Here is a 27,278-nt window from a genome sequence, read left to right as displayed (position 1 = left end):
CATAAAGCTTTTGCAAATCCTGGCACCTTAGAGAAGAAAGCTTTCCATTTGTTAGCTTTTGGTTGGTGAGTAGGTTATCTGATTATCCCTGGCAGGGCTCTGCCACCCTGCTTCACCTCTGAAGAGTCTGAGGGGAAGCTCAGCTCTGAGTAATGAGCCGCCACACATGAGCTGTCCTGTTTGAAAGGTGGTTTTTCCAGGTGGCCAGCTCTTCATCCTTATAGTTCTCTGGGCTGTATAAGCCAAACGCAGTGGTGCTTTTCAGTTGGCCTAGAAAAGAGGCCTGCGCGAAGGTCAGTGCATTTCCCTGCTGGGGCCTCCCCGTTAAACTGTCCAAGTGGAGTAGATGTTGGCCTTGGGTCTCAGTAATAACATCTTCTGGAAGTCCATTTGGCCTTGGGTCTCAGTAGTAACACCTTCTAGAAGTCCATTTGGCTGTGGGTCTCAGTAATAACACCTTTTAGAAGTCCATTTGGCCTTGGGTCTCAGTAATAACACGTTCTAGAAGCCCATTTGGCCTTGGGTCTCAGTAATAACACCTTCTAGAAGCCCATTTGGCCTTGGGTCTCAGTAATAACACGTTCTAGAAGCCCATTTGGCCTTGGGTCTCAGTAGTAACACCTTCTAGAAACCCATTTGGCCTTGGGTCTCAATAATAACATGTTCTAGAAGCCCATTTGGCCTTGGGTCTCAGTAATAACACCTTCTAGAAGTCCATTTGGCCTTGGGTCTTAGTGATAACACCTTCTAGAAGTCCATTTGGCTGTGGGTCTTAGTGATAACACCTTCTAGAAGTCCATTTGGCTTTGGGTCTTAGTGATAACACCTTCCAGAAGTCCATTTGGCCTTGGGTCTCAGTAATAACACCTTCTAGAAGTCCATTTGGCCGTGGGTCTTAGTGATAACACCTTCTAGAAGTCCATTTGGCCTTGGGTCTCAGTAGTAACATCTTTTAGAAGTCCATTTGGCCTTAGGTCTTAGTGATAACACCTTCTAGAAGCCCATTTGGCTGTGGGTCTCAGTAATAACACTTTCTAGAAGTCCATTTGGCCTTGGGTCTTAGTGATAACACCTTCTAGAAGTCCTGCGTGGCACAGTTTTCCACCCCTGGCTGTTGCATTATGAACTGTGTTTGGCCCATGGTCTGTGGAGGTCCCACTTTAGACCTGTGTGACTGCACTGGATGGCGAGTCAGTTCTGGGTAGAGTTGAGGGTGTGACCCAGAGTACTTCACCTAGACATAGTGCTTTTGCCTGTTCAGGGCTGGACGAGCAGTGGGAGTCTGAAATGATCCATCTGCTGTTATGATGCAGAGCTTTGGTGTTGCTGAGTGTGCATGTATTATTTAAGACGGGGAATAAAAATGGGGTATTTATACTGCTGTTAACATACTAAAAATTTATTTTCCTCAATGTCTATATAACAACATAAGAACACTATACTCTCCTCTTGAACCCTAAACCATTTTACACATTTTAGATGATTACTGAAGACTCCAGCAATTAGGTACTGTGATAAACAGACCATTTCCTTTACAAAGTTACATTTCATGGCCTCGTGGTGAGCATATTACACATATTTAAACATACTACTATAAGTGTGTCATAGTAGCTAAAAATAAAGTTTGTTTAAACTCAAAGAACTGACAGCTACTTTGTTGCAGTGGATATTCGAGGGAATCTGGGATTTTCCTTTTAAAGAAGAAAACTGCAGCAATGTAGAGTTTGTGTTTCCTGTGGGTGTTGTGTTTTGAGATTAAGGCATGTTGTGTATTGACTGACTCAGGTGCCTCTGGGGTGTCCCCAGCAGGTGTCCCCAACTCTTCTTGGGACCCTCCAGTGAGCACCACCTCCTTCAGCACCTATAGTCCTTTCCTGTGATAGGCACTGTTAATTTGTCATGTTTTATGAATGCTTAGACATTTGAAATTTGATTACAGTTGTTGATAGATCAGTTGAGTTATGGTAGCTCTGCTCTTTGGAATAATATGGAGAAGTTAATTTTCCATTCGATATAACCGACCTCAAATATAAAGTGCTAGTATGTTTTATATTGAAACAAATTGCAAAAGTCATCATGTGTGACAAAACATTTTCCACACTGGCAGGTGGGGTACATTGTAACTGGAGATGTGCTAAAATTTAATAGAGAATCAATTTAATAGAGAAACATCACTTATTTTGTAAATACTATGCGTTCATTTTTATTCTTATTTTATTGTGCTGTGACTGTAGTGCATGTATGAATTAGTGCCAATCTCATTCTATAGAAAGAGCGTCACTTGCTTGATTTCATGGTTGTATTTTGAGTCTATTTATATGTTGTAAATACAGTAAATTATATTAAATTTTAATTGCATTCATTTTGTGTAATGCACTTTACATAGTATGTTTTAAGATAGCTTTCCTTTTCCATATAGGAAGAGTTGCATGTACAGTTATGATTAGATTATGTAATCTCTGGTATGTGCTTCATACCAAGATCCTTTTTTAGCTGAAGAATATGGGGTTGGCTGTAAAGTCAGTCATTATCTTTGTACAGATGAATTAGAACATTTAATGCTAAATGTGATTGGCTGATGAGCTTTTTATAAAGTCATACTACTAAAATGGGATACATACAAAGGTTCATTAGAGAGTATTGAAGTTATAAGTTAGCCTTTGAAAGTGGCACCTTTCTAGTGGGTGTGACAGCTTCTTTGAGAGGCATCTGTGCACAGGTGATGTTTGCAGTGTTGTAAATGTGAGCAAAGTAGGTTCTCTTCCCCCAGGGAACCCAATACGACCGCAGCTTCTCCTCCTTCATGGAACAGAACATAGAATGAACTTCTCATTCGCTGCAACTGCTTTCAGATAATTTGTAAGTGTAGCTGGAACAGCCAAAGACATTTGTTAATCAAATGAATTGGTGGATGAAAATTAATAAGCTATTTTGAATTTTATTTTGAAACAGTGAGTATGACATTTAATACTAAAACAAGATGACACATTGCTGTGTATCTTTTTTTTTTTTTTTTGAGACAGAGTCTCGCTCTGTCGGCCAGGCTGGAGTGCAGTGGTGTGATCTTGGCTCACTGCAAGCTCTGCCTCCTGGGTTCATGCCATTCACCTGCCTCAGCCTCCCAGGTGGCTGGGACTACAGGTGCCCGCTAACACACCCAGCTAATTTTTTGTATTTTTTAGTAGAGACTCGGTTTCACCGTGTTAGCCAGGATGGTCTCGATCTCCTGACCTTGTGATCCACCTGCCTCGGTCTCCCAAAGTGCTGGGATTACAGGCGTGAGCCACCGCGCCCAGCCTGCTGTGTATCTTAACAAAAATGTTTAGGATATGTAGTTTCCAAGTGGAATGAATGACCATGAATATTGTACTTAACTTACTGCCCTTGGATTCAGGATTCCTAATATTTTCACTTTCCATCCCTACCTCCAGGTGACCACTGTTAACTGGTTACAGTGATCATAGTTTGCCTTACTGTTTATTAATATTTGTAGATGGACTGTAAGTAATCCCATTATTTCTATTACTTTACCTAATTTTCACATAAACTCTTTGATCCCAGCCTAATATTTTCCGTACTTTACAAATGTCAGGGAGGTTAGATGAATTGATCAGATTCATAGAGCTTAAAAGTTGCTCATCATCTAATTTGACAGTGACTTTTGACTCTGAATTCATCACTTGCGAGTTATGGTGTTGTAGGTGAAATAGTATCATAAGAATGAATTTTGGTGTTTGTAGTTACCACACTTATTTTTTTTCTGTCTTTTCAGTTATTCGACAACGAAGAGAAGCAGATGCTGCATTATTTTCAGAACTCCACAGAAAACTTCATTCACAGGTACAGTGCAGAATTCTGGAGGTCATTGCACTCATTGTTGAGGATATGATGAGTGGTATAGGAACCTTTGAATGTTTTTTGTGGTATCATATTAAACTTTTCTATAATTGGTAATTGCTTTTAATTATAGATAGCATTTGCTTTTTTTGTGTGAGCTTCAGTATTAGAAGTTTTAGCTGGATTTAATGCTAAATTGCTTATAAAGATGAATGAAGCTGCACAGGGAAAGTCAACAGAATTTGTGAGTTTTTATTGTAGTCGCTTAATTACACTGCTGGGAGGAAGCACATTGGTAGAAGTCTTATCTTCATATAATAGCTAAACTTTATCTGACTGATAAACTTTATTCATTGGGTCATAATTTGTACTGCCATAGTGAATAACGAAAAAATTGATTTTGAACGTGGTTGGATATTGATACTTGAAAATGAATGATTTTTCTAACCTTTTTTTTTTCTTTTGAGACGCAGCTTCGCTGTGTTCCCCAGGCTGGTCTCAAACTCCTGGGCTCAAGCAATCCTCCTGCCTGGGCCTCCCAAGTAGCTGGGACTACAGGTGCATGCCACCAAGCCCAGCCTTGTATTTTGATAAAAGATTTTGGCAGCCTGTATACCAATACATTAATTGAATCATAGGGTGAGATTTTTCTGATTTCTGACTATAAAGGAACTTAGTTCATCCCGCTTTCTTTCCTTTTATGGAGAAGAAAGTGAATCTAGAGAGGTTTAGTGCTTTGCGCAACAAATACTGTTAGTGTTACACAGTGAAAATGATTGAGTCAGGCCTAATGCTGCTAGTAATTAAACTCTTTTATTTTGAGTCTTCCTCTGTTGTTATATTGTGCTCTGGAAACAAGCTTAGTTCATTTGCTGCCCATTTTGATTCCTTAATTGTTTGACTTGGATTCACTGTTTTAAGCATGCTTTTTTCCATAATATTTGCGATATTATCTTTGTAATGTTTACAGAGTAAGAAATAGGAACCTTTTTTGTCCATTCATTTCCAGGCAAATTATTTCAAACTGCTGTATCATTTGCTTTCTTAAATCTTTCTCCATTTTTAAAACCATTTTCTACACACTGTATGTTAAAAAGATTTGCTTATTGGATACCATATTTCTCCAGATTCTTAGCCTTACCAAGATGCCCAAAGGGAGATTTCATCTAGTAAAAGCTGTTGTATTTGTTAATATTAGCCATTGGATGAAAACATATTTAGACACTTTTTTTTTTTTTTGAGGCGAAGTCTTGCTCTGTGCCCCAGGCTGGAGTGCAGTGGCGCAATCTGGGCTCACTGCAAGCTCTGCCTTCTGGGTTCACGCCATTCTCCTGCCTCAGCCTCCCAGGTAGCTGGGACTACAGGCGCCCGCCAACACGCCCGGCTAATTTTTTTTTTTTTTTTTGGTATTTTTAGTAGAGATGGGGTTTCACGGTGTTAGCCAGGATGGTCTCGATCTCCTGACTTCGTGATCTGTCCGTCTCGGCCTCCCAAAGTGGTGGGATTACAGGCGTGAGCCACCGCGCCTGGCCCTATTTAGACACTTTGTGACTTAAAATGGTTGTTTTCCAAAATTTTGTTTGGAGCTCTGAATGTTTATTCCTAAATATCAATGTCTTAAATAGTGGCCCGCTCCCTAGGGCTCGTCCCCAAAACTGACTTGCTTGGCTTTTTCATTGCATGACTGAAACATGATGAAAAATACTAGGAAATAATAGTATAAGACCAACGATTAAACCAAGTAGAATAGGAGATTCAGGTTAGTAGCCATTCCATCATTTTGCTAAAAATGGCTCCGCAGAAGTGTGAAGGTTGTTGATCCTAATTTTTTATCTTGTCTTAGTTAGGGCCCCGTATGTGGGTGTGCTGTGCAGACCATGGGGACGAAAGGTCAAAGGTGCAGTCGAATGTTTGCTCTTGTTGTTGGTAGACCTAGAGGAAGGAGTCCGGAGTGGAAGGAGGGTCCAGGTTGACGTGGAGACGGGAGTAGAGTGCTGTGCTGTTCCTGAGCTGGGTTTGAAGCATGGCTGAGCAGGAAAGTCCGAAGGGGGAGGGTGGCTTATGAGGGGAGTAGAACTAGAACATTGTGCATCTGCACTGCCCGGGCAGGACTCTGGCCTCGAGGGCAGGGAACAGCGTGCAGGTGCTGTGGCGGCATGGTAGGTGGTGCCCTGTTGATGACGGGTGTTCTGGTGTGGCAGTGCCGGGAAAGCTGAGATCAGCTCTTGTGCTGGGCACTAAACGGCTGCTTTGCGAAGATGTTTATTTGGTGTTCCTCTAGATCTTACCATGTCCCGATAAGACTTTCTTCACGTACAATTCAGTTTGTGCACAGTTTTAAAAGTTTTGTATCTGAACTTGCGGTCCTGTAGTTCAGAGTCTGAGGTGGCAGGTCTGAAGTGATTTCGGGTGGTTAAAAGCATCTGTACTGCCAGAGTGGTGGGAATGATCTGGTTTCCTCTGCCAGATCTCTCCTCTACCCACTCCTGCCCACTCTGTGCTCTCCAGGCCTGGCAGATTATACTCCTGGCCTCTCGCTGTGTGTCTCCCGGTTGGCTTCAGCTGGAGCTGGCTTAAGCTCCAGGGTGAGTCTGGAGTTGGGAGAGGGGTGACACTAAACTCATCTCCCCTGCTGCTGGGCAGCTGTTTGTCAGTGGCGTAGCTGTGACCACAGCTCCTGAGGGCAGTCCCTGCCCTGTGTTGGGCCCTCCTGGACCCTGCAGCTGCTGTCTCCAGCCTGATCTCTCTGGTCTCAGGGTCATTAGTGGCTTCTGGCTGGTGGTGTTCCCCTAGTGGCCCCTGGCTGGTGGTGTTCCCTAGTAGGTCCTGGCTGGTGGTGTTCCCTAGTAGGTCCTGGCTGGTGGTATTCCCTAGTAGGCCCTGGCTGGTGGTGGTCCCTAGTGGGTCCTGGCTGGTGGTGTTCCCTAGTGGGTCCTGGCTGGTGGTGTTCCCTAGTGGGTCCTGGCTGGTGGTGTTCCCTATTGGGTCCTGGCTGGTGGTGTTCCCTAGTGGGTCCTGGCTGGTGGTATTCCCATAGTTGCTCCTGGCTGGTAGTGTTGCTGGTGGTGTTTCCAGACTGCCTCACTGTCTCCTGTGGTTTCCCTGTTTCCGTCCACACCTTCGTATCAAATGGTTTTCAGCAGACTGAAGAGATCCTGGGTGTTTTATACTTGCTCTTTTTATAGTTAAAAAATGCTGCCTCCTCCTTTATGTCACTTGCTAAGTTTTTGGTGCATAATTTTGTTCATTTTTGAAATTTCTCCACCCTTCACCCTCAGATACATCTTTGCTAAAATATAATCTGAGATTTTTAACCTAGCGGTTTCTTAGTGCAAAGGTAGAACATTTCCTGCCGTCTTTCCCTTCACCTACCGGTCATTTCACTCAGAGACTTCCTGGAAACTCCCACAGGGACTTACAACTTGGCATCCTCTGAGCTGAAGGAAGTGTTGCGTCTTGTTCCACCCCTCTGGGCGTCCATTTGCATCCACCCGCACGCTGCCTGCTCTTTCTTCTGTCTTCTCTCTTTTGGTGAATGACAGCACCATTGATCTTGCCCCCCATGAGAACCTGAGTGTCATCTTGACTCCCCAGCTATATCTCTCGTTTGTCCGTTTTGGAGTCGGGCAGACCTGGGTTTGAACCCTGCATGTAGCTCTGTGATTTGGGTGAGTTATTCAGATTTGCTGTCCTTTGTTCTCTCATTTATGGCATGAAGAGAATAAGCCCTGTCATAGTGTGGTTGTGACGATGACAGGATTTAATGTGTGGAAAGAGCTAAAGGTTGGCAGCAGCTTGGCTCCTTGGTCCTGGGCCTGAGTGCCTGAGCCTCACGGGCCCCTGTTGCTGGCTTGCAGGGACTCACCGGGGACACATGCCTGAGCACACACTCGGCTCACTGCATTGCATTCAGCTGCTTGCATCTCCCTCCAGATAACAGCGGTCTTCCTCTCATGTTGTCCCCTCCAGCATGTTCGTCACTTGTGCAGTGATGGTGCCTCTGCCTAGGACGTCCTTCGCAGGCTTCCTGCTGTTGTCTTTACCTCCAAATCCAAGTTTCTTGGTGCAGCGTGGAGGCCTCATTCCGATGTCAGCTTCCCTCCTGACTCCTGGCCTTTGCCAGGTTGCTGTGTTCACTGTTCCTGTCCCTCCCTCTACACGGTCCATCTTTCTAGGAGACTCGAGTCTCCTCCAGAAGCCCTTTTGTGAGCTGTGAAGTGCCATTTGTCACGTTGCATCTGCCCACTTGTCTGTTGCCTGTGATGAGACACACTCCATCAGGGCTGGGTCTGTTTCTTATCCTCGTGGCCCTGGCTGGGGATTAGTTGAGTTTCTGAAAAAGCCTATGTCAACCAATTTTTTAAAGTTAGTAATTTAAATACCTGGGATGAGCTTACTTTTAAAAGAAACTTCCAGAGAATGTTTTATATAATGGAGAGTTTACATAATATAAGCAATCATCCCATAATTTGTTATGTAAATAAAGGTACTTACATGTGCATGCAAAAGGTAAGGCTGTCTGAATAGAGTATACTGAGGTTTGGCTGCTGTTATGTTTGCGAATCAGACTGGTGTGATACACAATTGGAAATTAATGAAATCTGTATGATAACCCTTGCATAGAAACCTGTGGGTTGGTTATCTTGACAGCTAAGTGCTTCAGACCCACTTTTTTTTTTTTTTTGAGACGGAGTCTCGCTCTGTCGCCCAGGCTGGAGTGCAGTGGCGGGATCTCGGCTCACTGCAAGCTCCGCCTCCCGGGTTCACGCCATTCTCCTGCCTCAGCCTCCCAAGTAGCTGGGACTACAGGCGCCCGCCACTACGCCCAGCTAATTTTTTGTATTTTTAGTAGAGACGGGGTTTCACCGTTTTAGCCGGGATGGTCTCGATCTCCTGACCTCGTGATCCGCCCGCCTCGGCCTCCCAAAGTGCTGGGATTACAGGCGTGAGCCACCGCGCCCGGCCTTTTTTTTTTTTTTTTGAGACGGAGTCTTGCTCTGTCTCCCAGCTGGATTGCAGTGGTGTAATCTCAGCTCACTGCAACCTCTGCTTCCCAGGTTCAAGTGATTCTCGTGTCTCAGCCTCCCGAGTAGCTGGGACTACAGGTGCGTGATACCACGCCTGGCTAATTTTGTGTTTTTAGTAGAGATGGGGTTTCGCCATGTTGGCCAGGCTGGTCTCGAACTCCTAACCTCAAGTGGTCCACCTGCTTTGGCCTTCCAAAGTGCTGGGATTACAGGCGTGAGCCCCTGTTCCCGGCCCAGACCTGCATCTTGACTTTAGGTACACATGATGCTGAGACTAACTTGTGCTTGTGGCTTAAATGGGATGTTGATAAAGGAAAAAATAATTCACATATTTTTATGATGGCTTTGTCTCATAATTACGGTTTTGGGGACATTATAAGAATTATTTCAGGGGAGACGATACTGTTATTCAGGAATAGGGTAACTTAAAAAAACTTTTCTTCTTGGGGACTTTAGAGCTAGTTAATAAGGGAAGGAAAGATCCAAGGTTGTTGGTTGCATGAGGACATTTGCTTCCGCCTTCGGATGGGTGGCACTGTTGAAAATACTTATGAATTGTTAGATTTGACGTTACTATGTGAATTTTAAAATGCATTTCTAGTTTGGAAATATAGTTCAGGAAAGAGGAAAATAAGGCTGGAGAGTAGTATAAAATCGTTCTTTTAATATTAACTTTTTTCCAAACAGGGAGTTTTGAAAAATAAATGGTCAATACTCTACCTCTTGCTGAGCCTCAGTGAGGACCCACGCAGGCAGCCAAGCAAGGTAAGTGGCTTTGCCTTTGCAGCGTCGTGTCCGTCGGGACACCCTGGCTGACTTTGATAGGAAACGGCTTCTGCAGCTAAGAAAATAATGCTAGGAAAGCAACAAGCTTGTCTGTCATGGAAGGTCAAGAGATTTCTTTTCCTTTTTCTTTTTAAGGACATTTTTAGTCAGTGTGGTTTCCTGATAATGTTTTTCAGAATTTTGTTATTCAGACATAACAATGGGTGATTAAATAGAGAATAAATGGTTAGTTTTCAAAATGTTTACTTTGTGAAGTTACTAATATCAGCACTGATAGGTAATTCTTTATGAACTAGAAGACCCTTTAGGAGTTTTTCATGCTCTCAGTTATGAGCATTCTTTACTTTTGTGCCAGTGAAACCCTGTCATCACCGGGCTCAGTGTCTGTCCCCTGCAGTATGTCAGAGTGATTCCAGTGCTCTGTGCCCCAGAGTCTGGTATAATAAAGTACTCACCAGAGACGTGGGAGTGCAAAGAGGTTGAAGCGTGTGGGTGAAAGAGTTCTGTCTATTGCTAAAGGCTTCGTCTGAGCAATCATTATATATTAATATACATGTAAACCATATAGATGTGAATATATAGAGGGCAATCATTCTTTAATAATGCCTAACTTTAAAAAATTATTCAAGTTTCAGTTTGCTTGGATCAGAGTGAGTGTTTAGTTATCAGATGATGTAGTGGTTGTTGGAGTTCAGAAAATTTTCTAAAACTTTATCAGTTTAGGCATATTTCAAAAGCATAACATCTAATTTATTGTTTAATAAAGTATGGAACCCAAATCCAGTTACAGAAATAGAAGGAAAATCTGAATATAAATGACCTTTTTAGGTTTGGGAAGACTGTTCTGTAATTTCCTGTCTCTGCTCTTAGTGTGTTTCTCTTTTCAGGTTTCTAGCTATGCTACGTTATTTGCTCAGGCCTTACCAAGAGATGCCCACTCAACCCCTTACTACTATGCCAGGCCTCAGACCCTTCCCCTGAGCTACCAAGATCGGAGTGCCCAGTCAGCCCAGAGCTCCGGCAGCGTGGGCAGCAGTGGCATCAGCAGCATTGGCCTGTGTGCCCTCAGTGGCCCCGCGCCTGCGCCACAATCTCTCCTCCCAGGGTAAGGCCACACTGACGTGTATAGATTCTCTATGTGTTAGAAACAGAGACGCCTGCAGGCTGTTAACCAGACATTGATGTTCACCCACAGTATCAGTGGGGCCTCATACGTGCCAGACAGTGTTCTGGGCACTGTGTCCGATGCACTCCATCTCTGAACGTTACTCCTCTTCAGAGCTATGCTACAGCAGGAGTTCCTTCCACTTTGTAATCCACAAGCTCTGGCCAGCTCTCACCTGTCACTGAAGTGCCCATCACGAAGGAGCTTGAAGTACCCTGTGCAAAGCCCTTCATCTGGAGGCTCTCTGACTGTGTGCTCAGATTTTTCCTTAGGGAATAGTGGCCTCTTCATTGATGTATGTTTTTCTCCTCATTGGATTCTTTAGTAAATTGTTAAGTAAAATAAAATAAGGTTGAACTTTCCTTGAGTGCTGAGGTCTTTAAGGATCGTGACATTTTAGTGCATATGAATTAAGATGATGAAATGCAGGAATGCACAACGAAGGTTTTATGTATGTGGTCCAAGCATGTTTTCAAGAAATACAGGATTTACAGCTGAGAATCAAGCAGGCGCCATTGTCATTCATGGATGGAACTTTGTTTTTCTTTGTTTTTAATTACACATTCTTCCTATATGTAGATAAACGGGTGGCTTTGCTTTTTGCCATAGTTGGTTCCCGGAAATCGCATTAAAGTGGATTATCATAAAGTAGATATTTTTCCAGAAAAACAGTGACCAAGGATTTAGCATCAAATAAATGGTGTTTTCCATGTGAGTGTAATAGAATTATAAATCATTTTGTGATTTATTCAATTATGTTCAAGATACTCGAAAACAGAATGTGTGTTCTATACATATGGATTACCAATGGGGTCTAGTGTTCTATGAAGAAAACGCAAAGCATTTAAAAACAGAACTTGACACATTTAATCTAGAATTTAAGTTCCAGCTAAAAGAATCAATTGACATTCTCATTTATACCTCAGAATTTGAATTATTATCCTATTAAAAATCTGTATAGAGAACTTTGAACTGAAAGTCTTTTAGAATCATCCTCTTAAATTTAGAACTATGCCCAGAGACATAGTTTTAGTGAATGTTGTTGACTTCTCTCCTGATGAAAATGGAATAAAATAAGAACTGTTTCAGTTCTTTCCTGTTCTCCTTACTTCACGAGTGGATTATGGATAAACCCCCCCAGTATTGCACCAGTACTAAATCCAAGCTCTGGCACCTGGAAACTGTAGAGCAGCTGAGGTTCTCATTTTTGTGTTTTGTAGTCCCAGGAAGTGATATTTTTGTTGCACCTGTCAAAACTGACGCTATTAGAAATCAGCTATGAGGTTCTTACATTTTTCAAAAAACAACTTTGACATAGTCTCAAAATTGCTGACAAGCCATCTTGACCTTGAATATGCATTTGCCTTAGATTTTATACGTTTGTATACTTTAGCAGTTAATTGAAAATTGCAGTTTCTTTTCATAGTGAGCACTCTGAAGGCTGAAGACAGGTGAGGCCAGGCGCCTGGGGCAGTGTCACAGTGACTCGATTCCTCTGCTCAGTACATGGGGAGTGAACGAGAGTTGTGGATTTTGAAGTTAAAATAAGTAGAGAATTTCAAAGTGGTTATGGGGTGGGTAAGGTATGTTATATGTTTATAAAGAAAAGCCAAATAGATTTTGATATTAATGGTAAGAAATATATATTGTAAGGTAGCAGTAAGATGATTTTTCCACTGCTGTGTTGGGTCCGAATGCTAGGCCAAGGGTCGCAAGGAGGCTTGACCAAGTTCAAGGGACTTGGGACTGTCTGTTATTGATATATTCGGTTAGGGTAAAGTCATGGTATCAGCTATACCAGATTTATAAATTTATGTAATTCACGATAGTAATACAAGAGAAATTTCTAGGGACACTTTTGTCTCTTCAGCGAATAGCCTATTAGAAGATAATACATGTTTCTTTTTTTAGACAGTCTAATCAAGCTCCAGGAGTAGGAGATTGCCTTCGACAGCAGTTGGGGTCACGACTCGCATGGACTTTAACTGCAAATCAGCCTTCTTCACAAGCCACTACCTCAAAAGGTGTCCCCAGTGCTGTGTCTCGCAACATGACAAGGTCCAGGAGAGAAGGGGATACGGGTGGTGAGTAAGGATCTATGTTAATACAGCTTTTCTGTGAACACTTGGAATTCAGCCTCTCCTTATTTTAAAGTACAGCCCAGGAGCCCCACCTCAAACCTTTTAGTGGTTTCTTCTTGTTCTTATGATGAAGTCCAGAGTCCCTGGTGGTCTGCGGCGCCTTGGGGAGTTTGGCTTTTCACCCCAGGCCACCTGGGCTTTTTCCTCCCAGCACAGTCTGCTTTTTGGCTGCTTTTCCATGTGGCCTCCTCCCTCCACATCTCTCGTCTTTGCTGTTCCTCATCACATTCTCCCTGTCTGTTTTCATCCTGCCGTTTCCCTGGGAAAGTCTTTAAGGCTGGGTTAGGCCCCCAGTAAAAGTCACCTTCTTCTACCAAAGTCTTAAGGCCACAGAGGGGCTATGTCTTTTCATTTATGGTGCCAGTGCTCAGCACAGTGCCTGGCACGTCGAAGAGAGTCATTGAGGAATTACTGAATGGTGAGATGAATACCTCATGGAGGGTTTTAAAGCCCTGCTAGATTCCAAAAGGAAGCTTGAGTTTCTTTATTGAGAACACTACAGTTAGCAGCATTTGAAACATGAGTGTCCTGAAAACAGAGGATTGGGTTTCCCTGTTGGCTCGTAATCTGCTGATTACGAAATGGCTCTGGATGTTACCTGTACCTGTCCTTGCGTAGAATGCAAAGGTGAGGAGCATCTGAGAGCTGGAGGACATCCTGGCACAGTATTAGCCCCCGCAGTAGTCTCCACCATCTGCCCCACTCCGCCTGTCCCTGTGTGTGGCTCCCGCGTCCAGCCTCTGTCCACAGCTGCAGATTCATGTCGTGTTTGACAGCTGTGCGTTCATGGCACAGCAGGCCAACCTCTAGACTGAGACTCGCCTTGTTTCTTTCTAATCTCATACTCTTTTTCATCTTGAGCTTATTTATTGAGTTAGTAAATTTCATCGGGGTGGCAAATATCTAATCTGAAGCTAATTGCACCATAATATCTATTGTCTGTTAAAATATTGTCTAGTAATTACTGTCTTTAAAAAATGATTTTGCAGGTACTATGGAAATTACAGAAGCAGCTCTGGTAAGGGACATTTTGTACGTCTTTCAGGGCATAGATGGCAAAAACATCAAAATGAACAACACTGAAAATTGTTACAAAGTAGAAGGAAAGGTACAGTAACATAAAATCTAAGTTAAAATATTCAGAAAGAAAAAACATGTCATGAAGTCCAGATAGTGGCTGTTGATTGATAAGGTGGTACTGGGGTTTTGCGAATCGGTTGTGAGGTGAAATTGCACTGTGGAATTCTGGTTTCTATTTCTGTCCATTGTGGCTCGTTCAGTTTTGTTATGGGGACCCTTTGTGATTAATGTGTGCCTCCTTTCCTCACGTCTACTGATGGGGCTGCCCCATAGCTGATTTCTGCATCCTGCTGTGTGATGGCTGAGGCACCCAGGGGACAGAGGTCCCTTGGCACCTTCGGCATTGATGCAGGATTCCAGGTCAGGGGTCTTCACCCACTTTTGTTTCCTTTTTCCATAATCTGCCTTTACCATGCCCATTTCTTGTGGTGTGGGTCACACTGTGGCTCTTAGCCCTTTCACAGCGTGGCTGAGATCACAGACCTTCTCTGCCACACCGCAGGCCAACTGCAGGGTGGTGTGAAATGAGCTCACCATGCCCTTTGAGGTGCTTTCCATCATGCTGTCACTTAATGTGCTTTCCTTCCCTTTAGTGATGGGATCTTAGTTTTAACTTTTATGTCTTGAAGCCTAAGGATTATAGTATTAAAAGTAGAAGTGCTTGAGAAAAATACTAATTAAAGCTCTAGTATTGCTTTTTAATGTTTAACATTTGATGTATTTACTTTTTAGGCAAATCTAAGTAGGTCTTTGAGAGACACAGCAGTCAGGCTTTCTGAGTTGGGATGGTTGCATAATAAAATCAGAAGATACACGGACCAGAGGAGCCTGGACCGCTCATTCGGACTCGTCGGGCAGGTGCGTTCATGGTTCCTAGGATGCTGGGATGCTGCGCACTTTGGGAAACGCTTACTCTAGTTGAAATCTTACTGTGAAATAGCTCCTTCTAAGGCTCTTTCCAAGTAAAGCAGCTTTGAGAGTCAACTTTCAGGGTCCACTCAAGACAGTAGAAACCACAGTAGGTGCTGATGAGGACACTGAATACAGCAGGTTGGCTCAGGAACTGCTGGAGGACTGTAAAATACAGAGAAAATGGTGAGACAGAGCTGGCCATGGGGAGCTGGCATTGCCCGATTCCAAACGCTCGAAGGGGGCCCTGCCCAGCTGCTGCTGCCTCCTCCAGAAGGTTGAGGAGGGGCCCTGCTGGGACGGGGCCTGCCAACAGGGGACACTCCCAGCTGCGTGATTCCCCAGGCAGCACGGTGAGGCAGGATTTGGGAACACTGCCGAAGCTGGAGATGGGAATCCTGGCTATGGCTGTCTGGACAGCCCTGGGTGGGCACTGCCGATGGCACAGTGCATGGTTGGGAGGGAGCTGCTGCTGCTTCTCCTCCTGTTGGAGCCTGACAGGGGGCAGCTAATAGGAGCCGTGGCATCTCCACTGTCCAGCCCTTCTTTGTGGCTAAGCAGCATGTGGTCTTGTCCATAGGTTGATTATTGGGCAGTAATTACTGCCAATGAAATCTCCAAAAATTATTGAATCACAGAACAACTGTGTACTATAAGCTCAGCGTAGCACAGGACTTATGGCAGCGTAGCTGGTGGGTAGGAGGGTGGCTGGTGAGTAGGAGCGTGACTGATGGAGAAGAGCATGGCTGGTGGGGAGGAGTGTGGTGCTGTAGTGTGGCTGGTGGGCAGGAACGTGGCCGGTGGGTAAGAATGTGGCTGGTGAGTAGGCACTTGGTGTGGCAGTGTGGCTAGTGGGTAAGAACATGGCTGGTGATTAGGCATGTGGTGTGGCAGTGTGGCTGGTGGGGAGGAGCATGGCTGGTGGGTAAGAACGTGGCTGGGAGTAGGAGCATGGCCGGTGGTTGGGAATGTGGCTAGTGAGGAGGAGTGTGGGTGGTGGGTAAGAATGTGTGGCTGGTGAGTAGGCGAGTAGTGTGGCAGTGTGGCTGGTGAGTAGGAGCATGGCTGGTGGGGAGGAGTGTGCTGTGGCAGCGTGGCTGCTGAGTAGGAGCATGGCTGATGGGGAAGAGCGTGGCTGGTGGGGAGGAGCGTGGCTGGTGGGGAGGAGTGTGCTGTGGCAGTGTGGCTGCTGAGTAGGAGCATGGCTGATGGGGAAGAGCGTGGCTGGTGGGGAGGAGCGTGGCTGGTGGGGAGGAGTGTGCTGTGGCAGCGTGGCTGCTGAGTAGGCATCACACTTTGAGCTTTGAAGCGAGGCAGCCCAGGGTTCTGGTTTGGGCTTCTCCTGTAATGGTCACGTCATCTTGCCCAGGTTATCTTCTGTTGGCCACAAGTTTCTTCCTGCATAGAGTGGGGTAGTGATTACCTCTAGGATTGTGAAGGTGGGGAGAGAATGCGTATAAAGATGCTGCTTCCCAGTCTAGTACTGTTTTCTGTTCTGTTTGCCAGTCTAGTGAATTGCTCGATGACCAGCCACCACTCTCCCTCATTGCAAGGGCAGATAGGAGTGAGCTGGCTCTTTCTCGAGGCAGGTAGGACTGGTGGGCCGTCCCCTCAGGAGCCAGCTGTAATTTTAGAGTCCCTGTCCCTTTTCCCGAAGGGAGTGTTTTATCATGTCTGGGTTTATATCATCATCTTATGCAAGTGTCACTGATAGGTCCCAGTCAACTTGATAGACATGAAGCAAAACACACACACAAAATCAATACAGGATAACTAAACCATTATGTAGATATTTTATTCCAGGAGATGGATTGATCATCACTATAGTAGTATCATATTATGTTTTATAGCAGGGGTCCCCAGTTCCTGGACTGTGGACCGGTACTGGTTCATGGCCTGTTAGGAACTGGGCCGCACGGCAGGAGGTGAGTGGAGGGCGAGCAGGCATGACCGCCTGAGCTCTGCCTCCTGTCAGATCAGTGATGGCATTAGTTTCATAGGAGTGTGATCCCTGTTGTGAACCGTGCATTCAAGGGATCTAGGTTGCATGCTTCGTATGAGAATCTAATGTCTGATTATCTGAGGTGGGAACAGTTTTATCCCAAAACCACTCTGCCCCCCCATCCCACCCTGGTCCGTGGAAAAAATGTCTTCCACAAAACCAGTCCCTGGTGCCAAAAAGGTCGGGGACTGCTGTTTATAGTACTGGACTTTAGAGGCTCTTCTTTTATCTTCTTTCTCCTTATCGATTATCATAGCAGCCTTCTAAAATGATCAGGGCAAGCATTAATTGTCCCCATTTTGCAGATGTGAGAATTGAACCTCAGCAAGTTTGATTGATTTGACCAAGTTGCCCTGACTAGTAGATGGCAGGTATGGACTAGGGTGTGACGTGTCACTCTGTTCCAAAGCTGTCTCTGTTCTTCCATTTCCTGCTGTTTGGAGTCATTGCTTGGTGCCATCCAGTTGCTGAAGGAGTGATGGTTTATTTATCTTATTTGAAGAGCCAGCGTGTGCTCTCAGTGGGGTGACCGTGTGCCCTAATTTATGCCTTGCATAATTTATGTCCTGTGTCAGTATTACCAGTGCCCACAATTAGCCTTGGAGGTGTCCTGGCTCTAGACATACCAAATGGAGCAAAATCATATATGAATGAAGATACTGTTTTGTAAGTGTGAAACTTACATGTGCATTTAATGAACCAAGGTGGAAACAGCCTCTGCTAACCACAGGCCTTTTCCCTCTGAGTGTGTGTGGCGCTGCCGCGCTCTGCCTGCACTTCCACTCTTTTGGTTGTAGACTTCTCAGAAGCTGACTCACATACACCTGTATATAAATACTTAGATTCTACACGTTGGATAATGATTTGATTATTTCAGCAGGTTTTGTTTTTGTTTTTTTTTTGAGACGGAGTCGTCTCGCTCTGTCACCCAGGCTGGAGTGCAGTGGCGCGATCTCGGCTCACTGCAAGCTCCGCCTCCCATGTTCACGCCATTCTCCTTCCTCAGCCTCCCGAGTAGCCGGAACCACAGGCACCCACCACCACGCCCGGCTAATTTTTTTGTATTTTTAATAGAGACGGGGTTTCACTGTGTTAGCCAGGATGGTCTTAATCTCCTGACCTCATGATCTGCCCGCCTTGGCCTCCCAAAGTGATGAGATTACAGGCGTGAGCCACCGCACCTGGCCGCATATTTCAGCAGGTTTTTCAAAGCTTTGATGTGTTTATGTGTCTGCTCTCCTGCCCTGGGGCTGGGATGGAGTTTTGGTAAAGAGTGATGCTGTGCCTGAGCAGATTCCATGTCGTTTTCTCTGTAAATATTACCTAAGAAAACTGACCTATGGTTTAGTAAGCACCTTTGTGCCCACACTGTGCCAGGCGCTTGCCCTACGTTACCGCATTTATTCTTCCTCCCTTTGTAGATGAGCCTAGAGGTTCATACCGTCAGGGGCTGACACGTGGCGGTACCTCCAGCGGGAGCCCTGGATTTTTACCCCCTGGTCTGTCTCATTCCAGACTCTAGGACGTTTCTTCTTGCACACCTCACTTTTGACGTGTCCTTTTGTGTCTACAAAATTAGTATGTTTTATGTTCATTTTCATACTTGAAAATGTTCACATTTGTCTTAGTCCACAAACCATAAATGCAGTAAAATACACCTATAGGTGACTGCTGATATATTTTAAAAATATACAGAAAGGTATGCAACCTACATATTTACTTAAAGAAAACAAGTTTAAAAAACAATTAAAAAAAATTTTTTGATGGAGTTTTGCTGGATAAAACTGAATGAGAAAGAACACAGGTTTATCCCTTGCAGGCTGCTTCTGCTGTGGGCTCCTTGAACAGCAGAGCTGCCCCCAGGCATCCTGGAGTTACATCCCACAGCTCATCCCTGAAGGCTCTTGCCACAGGACTGGATGCAGGTGTATCAGGGTGCCTCTTCTAGCTTCTGATTCCTGTTGTTTTGACCTGACTCCTTTCAGTATTTTTTTTTTTTTTTTTTTTTTTTTTTGAGATGGAGTCTCACCCTGTCGCCCAGGCTGAAGTGCAGTGTTGTGATCTTGGCTCACTGCAAGCCCCGCCTCCTGTGTTCAAGCCATTCTCCTGCCTCAGCCTCCTGAGTAGCTGGGACCACAGGCACCCGCCAACACGCCCGGCTAATTTTTGGTATTTTTAGTAGAGACAGGGGTCTCACCATGTTAGCCAGGATGGTCTCGATCTCCTGGCCTCGTGATCCGCCCGCCTTGGCCTCCCAAAGTGCTAGGATTACAGGCGTGAGCCACTGCACCCGGCCTCCTATCAGTTTTTAAGATTGGAGATGTGTGGAAAAGTTCTTACTACTAATAGGGGTCAGAAGAACAAGCAGTGCAAACAGAACAAAAATTAGGAGGATTGGCATTGAGCTGCCAATTTTAAAATTTTGTTAATTAAGAGCATGAAAGAAAATTACATTTTAACCCTGAATATTTACAGGGGATATAATCTTTTTTAATTAATTAATTAATTAATTTTTTTATTATTATACCTTAAGTTTTAGGGTACATGTGCACAACGTGCAGGTTTGTTACATATGTATACATGTGCCGTGTTGGTGTGCTGCACCCTTTAACTTGTCATTTACATTAGGTAAATCTCCTAATGCCATCCCTCCCCGCTCCCCCCACCCCACAACAGGCCCCGGTATCCAAGTTCCCCACCCTGTGTCCAAGTGTTCTCATTGTTCAATTCCCACCTGTGAGTGAGAACATGCGGTGTTTTGTTTTCTGTCCTTCTGATAGTTTGCTCAGAATGATGGTTTCCAGCTTCATCCACGTCCCTACAAAGGACATGAACTCATCATTTTTTATGGCTGCATAGTATTCCATGGTGTATATGTGCCACATTTTCTTAATCCAGTCTATCATTGATGGACATTTGGGTTGGTTCCAAGTCTTTGCTATTGTGAATAGTGCTGCAGTAAACATACGTGTGCATGTGTCTTTATAGCAGCATGATTTATAGTCCTTTGGGTATATACCCACTAATGGGATGGCTGGGTCAAATGGTATTTCTAGCTCTAGATCCTTGAGGAATCGCCACACTGTCTTCCACAATGGTTGAACTAGTTTACAGTCCCACCAACAGTGTAAAAGTGTTCCTATTTCTCCACATCCTCTCCAGCACCTGTTGTTTCCTGACTTTTTAATGATCACCATTCTAACTGGTGTGAGATGGTATCTCATTGTGGTTTGATTTGCATGTCTCTGATGGCCAGTGATGATGAGCATTTTTTCATGTGTCTGTTGGCTGCATAAATGTCTTCTTTTGAGAAGTGTCTGTTCATATGCTTTGCCCACTTTTTGATGGGATTGTTTGATTTTTTCTTGTAAATTTGTTTAAGTTCTTTGTAGATTCTGGATATTAGCCCTTTGTCAGAAGGGTAGATTGTAAAAATTTTCTCCCATTCTGCAGGTTACCTGTTGACTCTGATGGTAGTTTCTTTTGCTGTGCAGAAGCTCTTTAGTTTAATTAGATCTACAGGGGATATCATCTTAAAGGATCATTCTCTAAAGTCACTACACTTCATGAAAACTATACCATATATATTTTTTCCATTCCTCTTCTGCAAAGTTCATGCTTTTTGTACTAAGGAACAACACTTTTTTCATATTATTAAAATATATATTGTGGTGATTAAGATGATTAGAAGATTATTGACAAAACCTGAATTTAAATCTTGTAGCACCCCACCTGAACTTTATCTAAACGCATTATACCTTTCCACTTAAAATCAGTCAATGTGTAATGAGTGTGTCGTGCTTTAATTATATTTCTCCTCCAAACAGAGCTTTTGTGCTGCCTTGCACCAGGAACTCAGAGAATACTATCGATTGCTCTCTGTTTTACATTCTCAGGTAAATATTTTATTTTTATTTTTATTTCTTTATGATTTGAAGTGTTACAAAATTGAAGCTATATAGAATGTTTTAAGTTCCTTCATACATTACTTTTAAAATACAGCAATATTTTTCATAATATTATTTGTAAGGTTTGAATATCAAGTTTCAGTGTATCCTAGAGCCAGTTAATTGCCAATTTTCGGGGTTCTACCGGTTAAAGGTAGCTTTAAAATACTATTTTTTTTTAAAGGGGACTTTGGCTTCATTTTTATGAGTATAATCATTTTCTTATGTTCACTTGATATAGATTAAGAAGTGTGATCTATGTGGTTATTTGTACTTAAACATTTCTATCTTTATTGTTTTTTAGCTACAACTAGAGGATGACCAGGGTGTGAATTTGGGACTTGAGAGTAGTTTAACACTTCGGCGCCTCCTGGTTTGGACCTATGATCCCAAAATACGACTGAAGACCCTTGCGGCCCTAGTGGACCACTGCCAAGGTCCCACGCGCGTCTTTCCCACGCACGTCTTTCCCACGCGCGACTTTCCCACGCGCGACTTTCCCACGCGCGACTTTCCCATGCACGTCTTTCCCACGCGCGTCTTTCCCACGCGCGTCTGGCACTCGCTTTGTTTCAGAACTCGTTTGTAGGGTGCGCCATCCAGGCTTGCTTTTGTGTCCTGCCCGTTTTTGTCCTTAATGGCCGTGTTGATTCGATAGGAATCGACAGATGGGAGCCAAGAGGGGACGTAACCACTTGCCAGTGTGGCCCAGTATTTATATGGTAGAAGCTCGGGCTGGCATTGAGATGGAGGTGGGAAAGAGGAGGGTGTCTCGTGTTTAAAGATTTCTCTCTTGTGTGGTCCTTGGTTATGGCTCCCCATGGTGCTTGCTGCTCCCTTGGTCGCCTTTCCTTGCATTTTGCTTTTTGCCTTTAGTCCTTCTGCAGTCAGGGACCATGTTGGTGACTCTCGGTCAGATGTTCCCATATTTGCATGTCTTGCTTTGGCCTCTCTGGCTCTAGGTTCTGTATTGCTAGTTGCTTTCTGACATTTTTTCTCATTGTTTGTGCTACCTTGGCCAAGAACCTCTTTGCCTTCTCCCTCGTTTGTAACATTGAGATCCTAGTAGCAGTTACTTCTTAGGGTTGTTAGGATGACATGAGATGGGCGAGTTGGCCATCTGCCACACAAGAGTTCCCTTCTCACTGCCATCCTCTGCCCAGGGTGTTCCCCAGAATCTGCAGGGCCCCATTGGTCATCTTGCTGTCTGCACACCTTCCTCTCTCACCTCTTGGCACTTCCCTCAAAAAAGAGAGAAGTGGAGCACAGTAAATAAACGCCAGCGTTTTCTCCAGTTCCCAGCACCTCTCCGGAACTGGATCCCCCAAACTCCTCTGTCACTTTCTGTGTCCAGCGGGCCCCTGGGGTCCTTCACTGTCTTCACTCTGCTCAGCCTGTGCGCTTGGCCTTGGTGCTGTAGGGACTGTTATAAGAGCTGCTGTCCGATCCCCATATTCAATCTCACAGCCCCACTTTGTGTACACACACCAGAGCCATCTTCTTAAAATCAGATCCTGTCACTCCTCTCCCTAAAATCTACCAGTGGTCTAATAAAATCTTGAATTTTTAGCATAACATAAGAACTCTTCATGTGCTTCTATTTCCAGACCGGATTTTTGCCACTCCCAGTCCTTCATACTGTGTAGTTCTGGCCAAGGCCCGGGGGGCCTCTTCTCTCTACATAGAGCGGTGTTTCTCACACTGTCTGTTGTAGCCAGTTAATGGGTTATGAAACCAGTTAATGGGCTGGGGCTAGCATACCATACCAAAAAAAAAGTACAAGGATGGATTCACAGGACTTCTGCTTTTCATACATGTTTGTGCCCTCCTTTGCACCATGAAGCGTGAATCTTAGTATGTCTCAAGTAGAAAAGGCATGAAAAGTCATGTGAACTTTAGATTGTGTAGCCGGCAATTTTTTGCTACTTTTTGTTTCTGAAAAATTCCTCAGCAGTCCTAAAGAGAAGAGTGACTCACACACTTGTGTAAAGCCAGGGTTGGAGTCTGGACCTCCTGGTTTCTGAATCATGACATGTTACTGCTGCTTCTAGGTCCAAAGTGGTATTAACTGTAAGAAAACAAATGCTCTTTATCTCAATTACTTGGGCGTCTTTGGTTGGTGAGAAGTGACTGGTGTGTACTATGAGTGTAAATGTGGATGTTTTTGTGTATTTTCCTCCATTTCTCCCAGGAAGGAAAGGAGGTGAGCTGGCCTCAGCTGTCCACGCCTACACAAAAACAGGAGACCCGTACATGCGGTCTCTGGTGCAGCACATCCTCAGCCTCGTGTCTCATCCTGTTTTGAGCTTCCTGTACCGCTGGATATATGATGGGGAGCTTGAGGACACTTACCACGAAGTAAGGATCGGTGTTCGGTTCTGAGACTTGGATTTAAAAAGCATGGGCACGCAGTTATGCTGTTTCATTTTTCCCCTCATGATTACCATGTTCTCCTAACAGGAATGCAACTGCACTTCCATTGAATACCATATACATTTTACACAGTGCCTCGACAGCTGGTTATCTCACTGAACAGCAGATAAGTTCACGAGTTCTTTGGTTAGTGGAGAATTGTCCCAGTTTATTCCTCAGCAAGGTGGAATCACTCGTCCGAGTTTACTAGCACGTGGATGGCAAAACAGGACGAGGCCTCCTGAGTCTTGGGGCAGTCATCATCGCAGATTCTGCTGCTTTGCCATGATTACTTTGCAAACTCACTTTGGTGCTAACAGCTTAATGAAACAAGTTAGTTGTGTATGTAGCTATTGAAATAGGGTCAGTTCTGTAACGCAGCATGTGCTGCTTAAAAATCACTGTTGTGTAAATCACATGATAGAAATGATAGGGCTTTTGGTGGAAGGTAGGGTGAGGGGCACCACACTCAAAACCTTTGTCAGTAAGACAGGAATCTAACAAAAGTTGTAGTGCAGTTTAACACGTTAAAGTTTAAGAAATACATAAGCACTGCCATAAATATCACATTGGCCTTGGAAAAACCCTGGCGCTTTCTTGTGGGAGTGGGCCGTCGGGGCCGCAGACTGTGTGTGGCGGGAAGTGGCGGAGGCCTGGCCATCTGAAACAGGTGTGCCTTGTGTGGGCGCTGCTGGCTGCAGTGGCCTGTGTTCTCCTGCCGTTTCTCATGGATGAAATTGCAAATAAGCAAGCGTGAGGTTTGTATTACATTCAATTTGTTTTCTAATTTATTGTTTGTGCTGTTACAAGTTGTTTTTAAAGCAAGCGTTTGGGCAGAATGGAGTCTCTGGTGCTCTGTGTGCTTTTGAAACACATGGGCGGCATGGCGTGTGTGCATCTGCGTTGGGCGAGTTGCTTAGCCTGTCTTGTAGCACTTTCCCGATGGTGTGTGTAGTTTTTCTTTATTACTGCATATTATTTCACAGTAGGGACAGATATGTTTTTATCTAGCTACTGTCCTGTTGATGGAGATGATGTTTTCTTTGTAGTTTTTAATCTTATGAACAGTATTAAAATGAACATCCTTTTATGTGTCTCCCTGCACGTATTTATGAGTTTCTCTAACGTGGGTTCTGGGAGGTGGGATTGCTGGGTTGTGGGGATGCATTTTTTTTTTTTTTTTTTTTTTTTTGAGACAGAGTCTCGCTCTTTTGCCCAGGCTGGAGTGCAGTGGCTCAATCTCGGCTCACTGCAGGCTCTGCCTCCCATGTTCACGCCATTCTCCTGCCTCAGCCTCCCAGGTAGCTTGGGACTACAGGTGCCCGCCACCATGCCTGGCTAATTTTTGTATTTTTAGTAGAGACGGGGTTTCACTGTGTTAGCCAGGATGGTCTCGATCTCCTGACCTTGTGATCTGCCCGCCTTGGCCTCCCAAAGTGCTGGGATTACAGGCGTGAGCCACTGCGCCCGGCCTGTGGGGATGCATATTTTAAACTGCTTCTGCCACGTTGCACTCAGGAGTGCCTATCCAGGTTGACGCAGCTATCAGCTTCCTGTTATGGTCCTCATTCCCGCGTCCTTGTCAACACTTTGTCTTACCCAATGTTAATAAGAATATTTTCACCTAATGCACGAAATGTGCCATCTCACTGGGGTGTTTATTTGCATTTCCCTGATTACTAGTGAGACTGACCAGCTTTTCGTGCTTATAGGTTATTTTTTTATTTCTTCTTCTGATTACCTGTTAGTTTCCTTTGCCCATTTTTCTTATGGATTTGTTTTTCTTTTTAGGAGTGAATCATGGATGGTTTTATATTTTCAAATTTTTATATATGGAATTGCTCTTTTAAAAAATTATATCTTTTAACTTTTTTTCACATTCTTCCAAACTTATAAAAAAGTTGCAAAAATAGTACGAAGAATCATTGTACTGTTGACTGAGCCTTAACTGAGACTCCACACAAGTTTTACTACGTTTTATCATAAACTAAATTTCTCTATATACTTGAATCTGTTTCTGGATTGTATTTTTTCTGTTTGCTTTTCATCTGTCAATATGATTTAAATGACTCTATGGTTTGAAATTTGGTAGAGGCAGTACTTACCTTTTGTTCTTTTCACAATTTCTCTGTTTTTGCACATTTATACTTAGATATGAATTTAGAATCAGCCTGTCAATTCCGTTAAAAGTTCTTTTAAAAATTTTTATAGGGATTGCATATTGGATTTGGAGATTAAAAAGGATTTTCAGGCTTCTTATGTTCCTTTTGTTGTATGAACTTTCTTTTAAAATAAAAACTGAAGCTTTGTAAGGTGTGTTTTATTTTACTAATGGTTACCTCAAGTTTTTCAGAGCTTTTGTGAGCCTGTATCTTTCTAAATGTTAAAATCACTAGTAAACTTTCTTTTTTAACCCCTTCCTCCATTAAGATGAAGAATTGTGTCCATTTCCCAGGTTCTGCATACCTGCATGGACCGCCACACTCTTTTTTTTTGAGATGGAGTCTCGCTTTGTTGTCCAGGCTGGAGTGCAGTGGCGCGATCTCAGCTCACTGCAACCTCCACCTCTGGGGTTCAAGCAGTTCTCCTGCCTCAGCCTCCCAAGTAGCTGGAACTACAGGCGCACGCTGCTACGCCCAGCTAAGTTTTTTTGTATTTTAGTAGAGACGGGGTTTCACTTTGTTGCCCAGGCTGGTCTTGAACTCCTGAGCTCAGGCAATCCGCCCACCTTGGCCTCTCAAAGTGCTGGGATTACAGGCGTGAGCCACCGTGCCTGGCCCTACACTCTTAAGCTCTGTACCTTTTGTTTAAATCTAGGTTATTTTATATTTTTAATTTTTTATATGCAATTTGTATTAAGTCACTATCGAAGTCAAGAAGTAGCACTTATCAGTACCCCTATTGTGTACCCATCATTGTCCCCTTCTCCTTAAAGGTAAACTTTATACTGACCTCTGACACTGTAGGTAGCTCAATTCTTAGTTTAAATTTTATATAATGTTCAATGTTAAAATACATATACATGCCATCTATAGAGGTATATTTGGTATTCATCATTTAAATTTGAATCCTTATTTTTAGGTCTGTTTCTGGAAAGTATCATAAAATTATTGAATTGACTTAAAGTTCTAGACTTAATTTTTCAAGATTAAATGGAGACTTAAATTCTTGTACTATTTAGTTTTTATCTATCACAATGGTAAGGTGCTAAGGACATGTAGGTAATGGGCGTTTCCTTTGATAGAGTGAGGCTTGCCATTTTTAATGCATTTATGTTCAGTTATTCCATAATTACAGGATGAGGTGAGTTTTGATAGCTGTTTAAAAACCTGTGCAATTGATTATTTAGAATGCATATTAAATCTCCTGACCATTATCACAATAAGCCAAGTTATTTGAGTTTAAAAAATTTGTTATTTAATTAGTTTATGGGAGTCTAAGTGATCTTGTGGTTAAGAAAATGAAAAATCAATGTTTTATTTTCAGAACGTATGTTCTTTTTATATTACTATGATTTGTTTACTCTCAGCCATGCTTAGTGGTGTAGATTTATGAGAAATACTTTGACCAGCATGTACACCAGAAATAAAAAGTTCTGTGTGTTACTGTTCTCAGTTTTGAGGTGTATCTTCTTATCATCCATTATAATTGTACCCTTCAGAAGTAAAAGATGATATTTTAAGGCAATCTTTAAAAATTAGGATTATAAAAAGGAGAAAGTTTACCTTTTTATTTAATTAAAGAATCTGTATCCTCTTCGTTCAATAATTAGTGTGTGAGTTATAGTATGAATTTGGGCGATTTCAACTTTTCTAATGATTGCTGATCAATTGATAAACCTGGTTTTCTTCAGAGATTGGAGTGGGAATTGTCTGAGTTTTCATACTATTAGGATATATATTGCTAATAATTAGAACAAAAGTCAAAGCCACAAGCTGGCTAATTGTCTTTTTTGACTTTAGTACCTAATTT

General features: G+C 43.5%; 1 protein-coding gene across 12 annotated transcripts in view; it reads left to right on the top strand.

Moving 5' to 3' along the window:
- The window catches only part of TUBGCP3 (tubulin gamma complex component 3), a 120,620-nt gene that overhangs the window by 36,680 nt on the left and 56,662 nt on the right, over positions 1-27,278 (top strand). For 7 of the 12 annotated variants that reach the window (XR_007063655.1, XM_017020323.3, NM_006322.6 and 4 more), the window contains 9 exons: positions 3,773-3,840; positions 9,552-9,629; positions 10,538-10,755; positions 12,727-12,899; positions 13,946-14,064; positions 14,769-14,894; positions 20,775-20,843; positions 21,199-21,331; positions 23,086-23,252. Coding sequence is in view for 11 of the 12 variants with exons in the window: in NM_006322.6 (NP_006313.1) it covers positions 3,773-3,840; positions 9,552-9,629; positions 10,538-10,755; positions 12,727-12,899; positions 13,946-14,064; positions 14,769-14,894; positions 20,775-20,843; positions 21,199-21,331; positions 23,086-23,252 (1,151 nt within the window). In the remaining variant the exon portion in view is untranslated. Of the gene's footprint in view, positions 1-3,772; positions 3,841-9,551; positions 9,630-10,537; positions 10,756-12,726; positions 12,900-13,945; positions 14,065-14,768; positions 14,895-20,774; positions 20,844-21,198; positions 22,470-23,085; positions 23,253-27,278 lie in introns of those variants that run through there. The other 5 variants (XM_011537462.3, XM_047430036.1, XM_047430037.1 and 2 more) reach the window with 3 other exon arrangements.

The sequence above is a fragment of the Homo sapiens genome, chromosome 13, assembly GCF_000001405.40.
Source record: "Homo sapiens chromosome 13, GRCh38.p14 Primary Assembly".
Taxonomy (NCBI): Eukaryota; Metazoa; Chordata; class Mammalia; order Primates; family Hominidae; genus Homo; species Homo sapiens.
The sequence above is the reverse complement of the archived record's forward strand: the minus strand, read 5'-3'. Positions and strand labels throughout refer to the sequence as shown.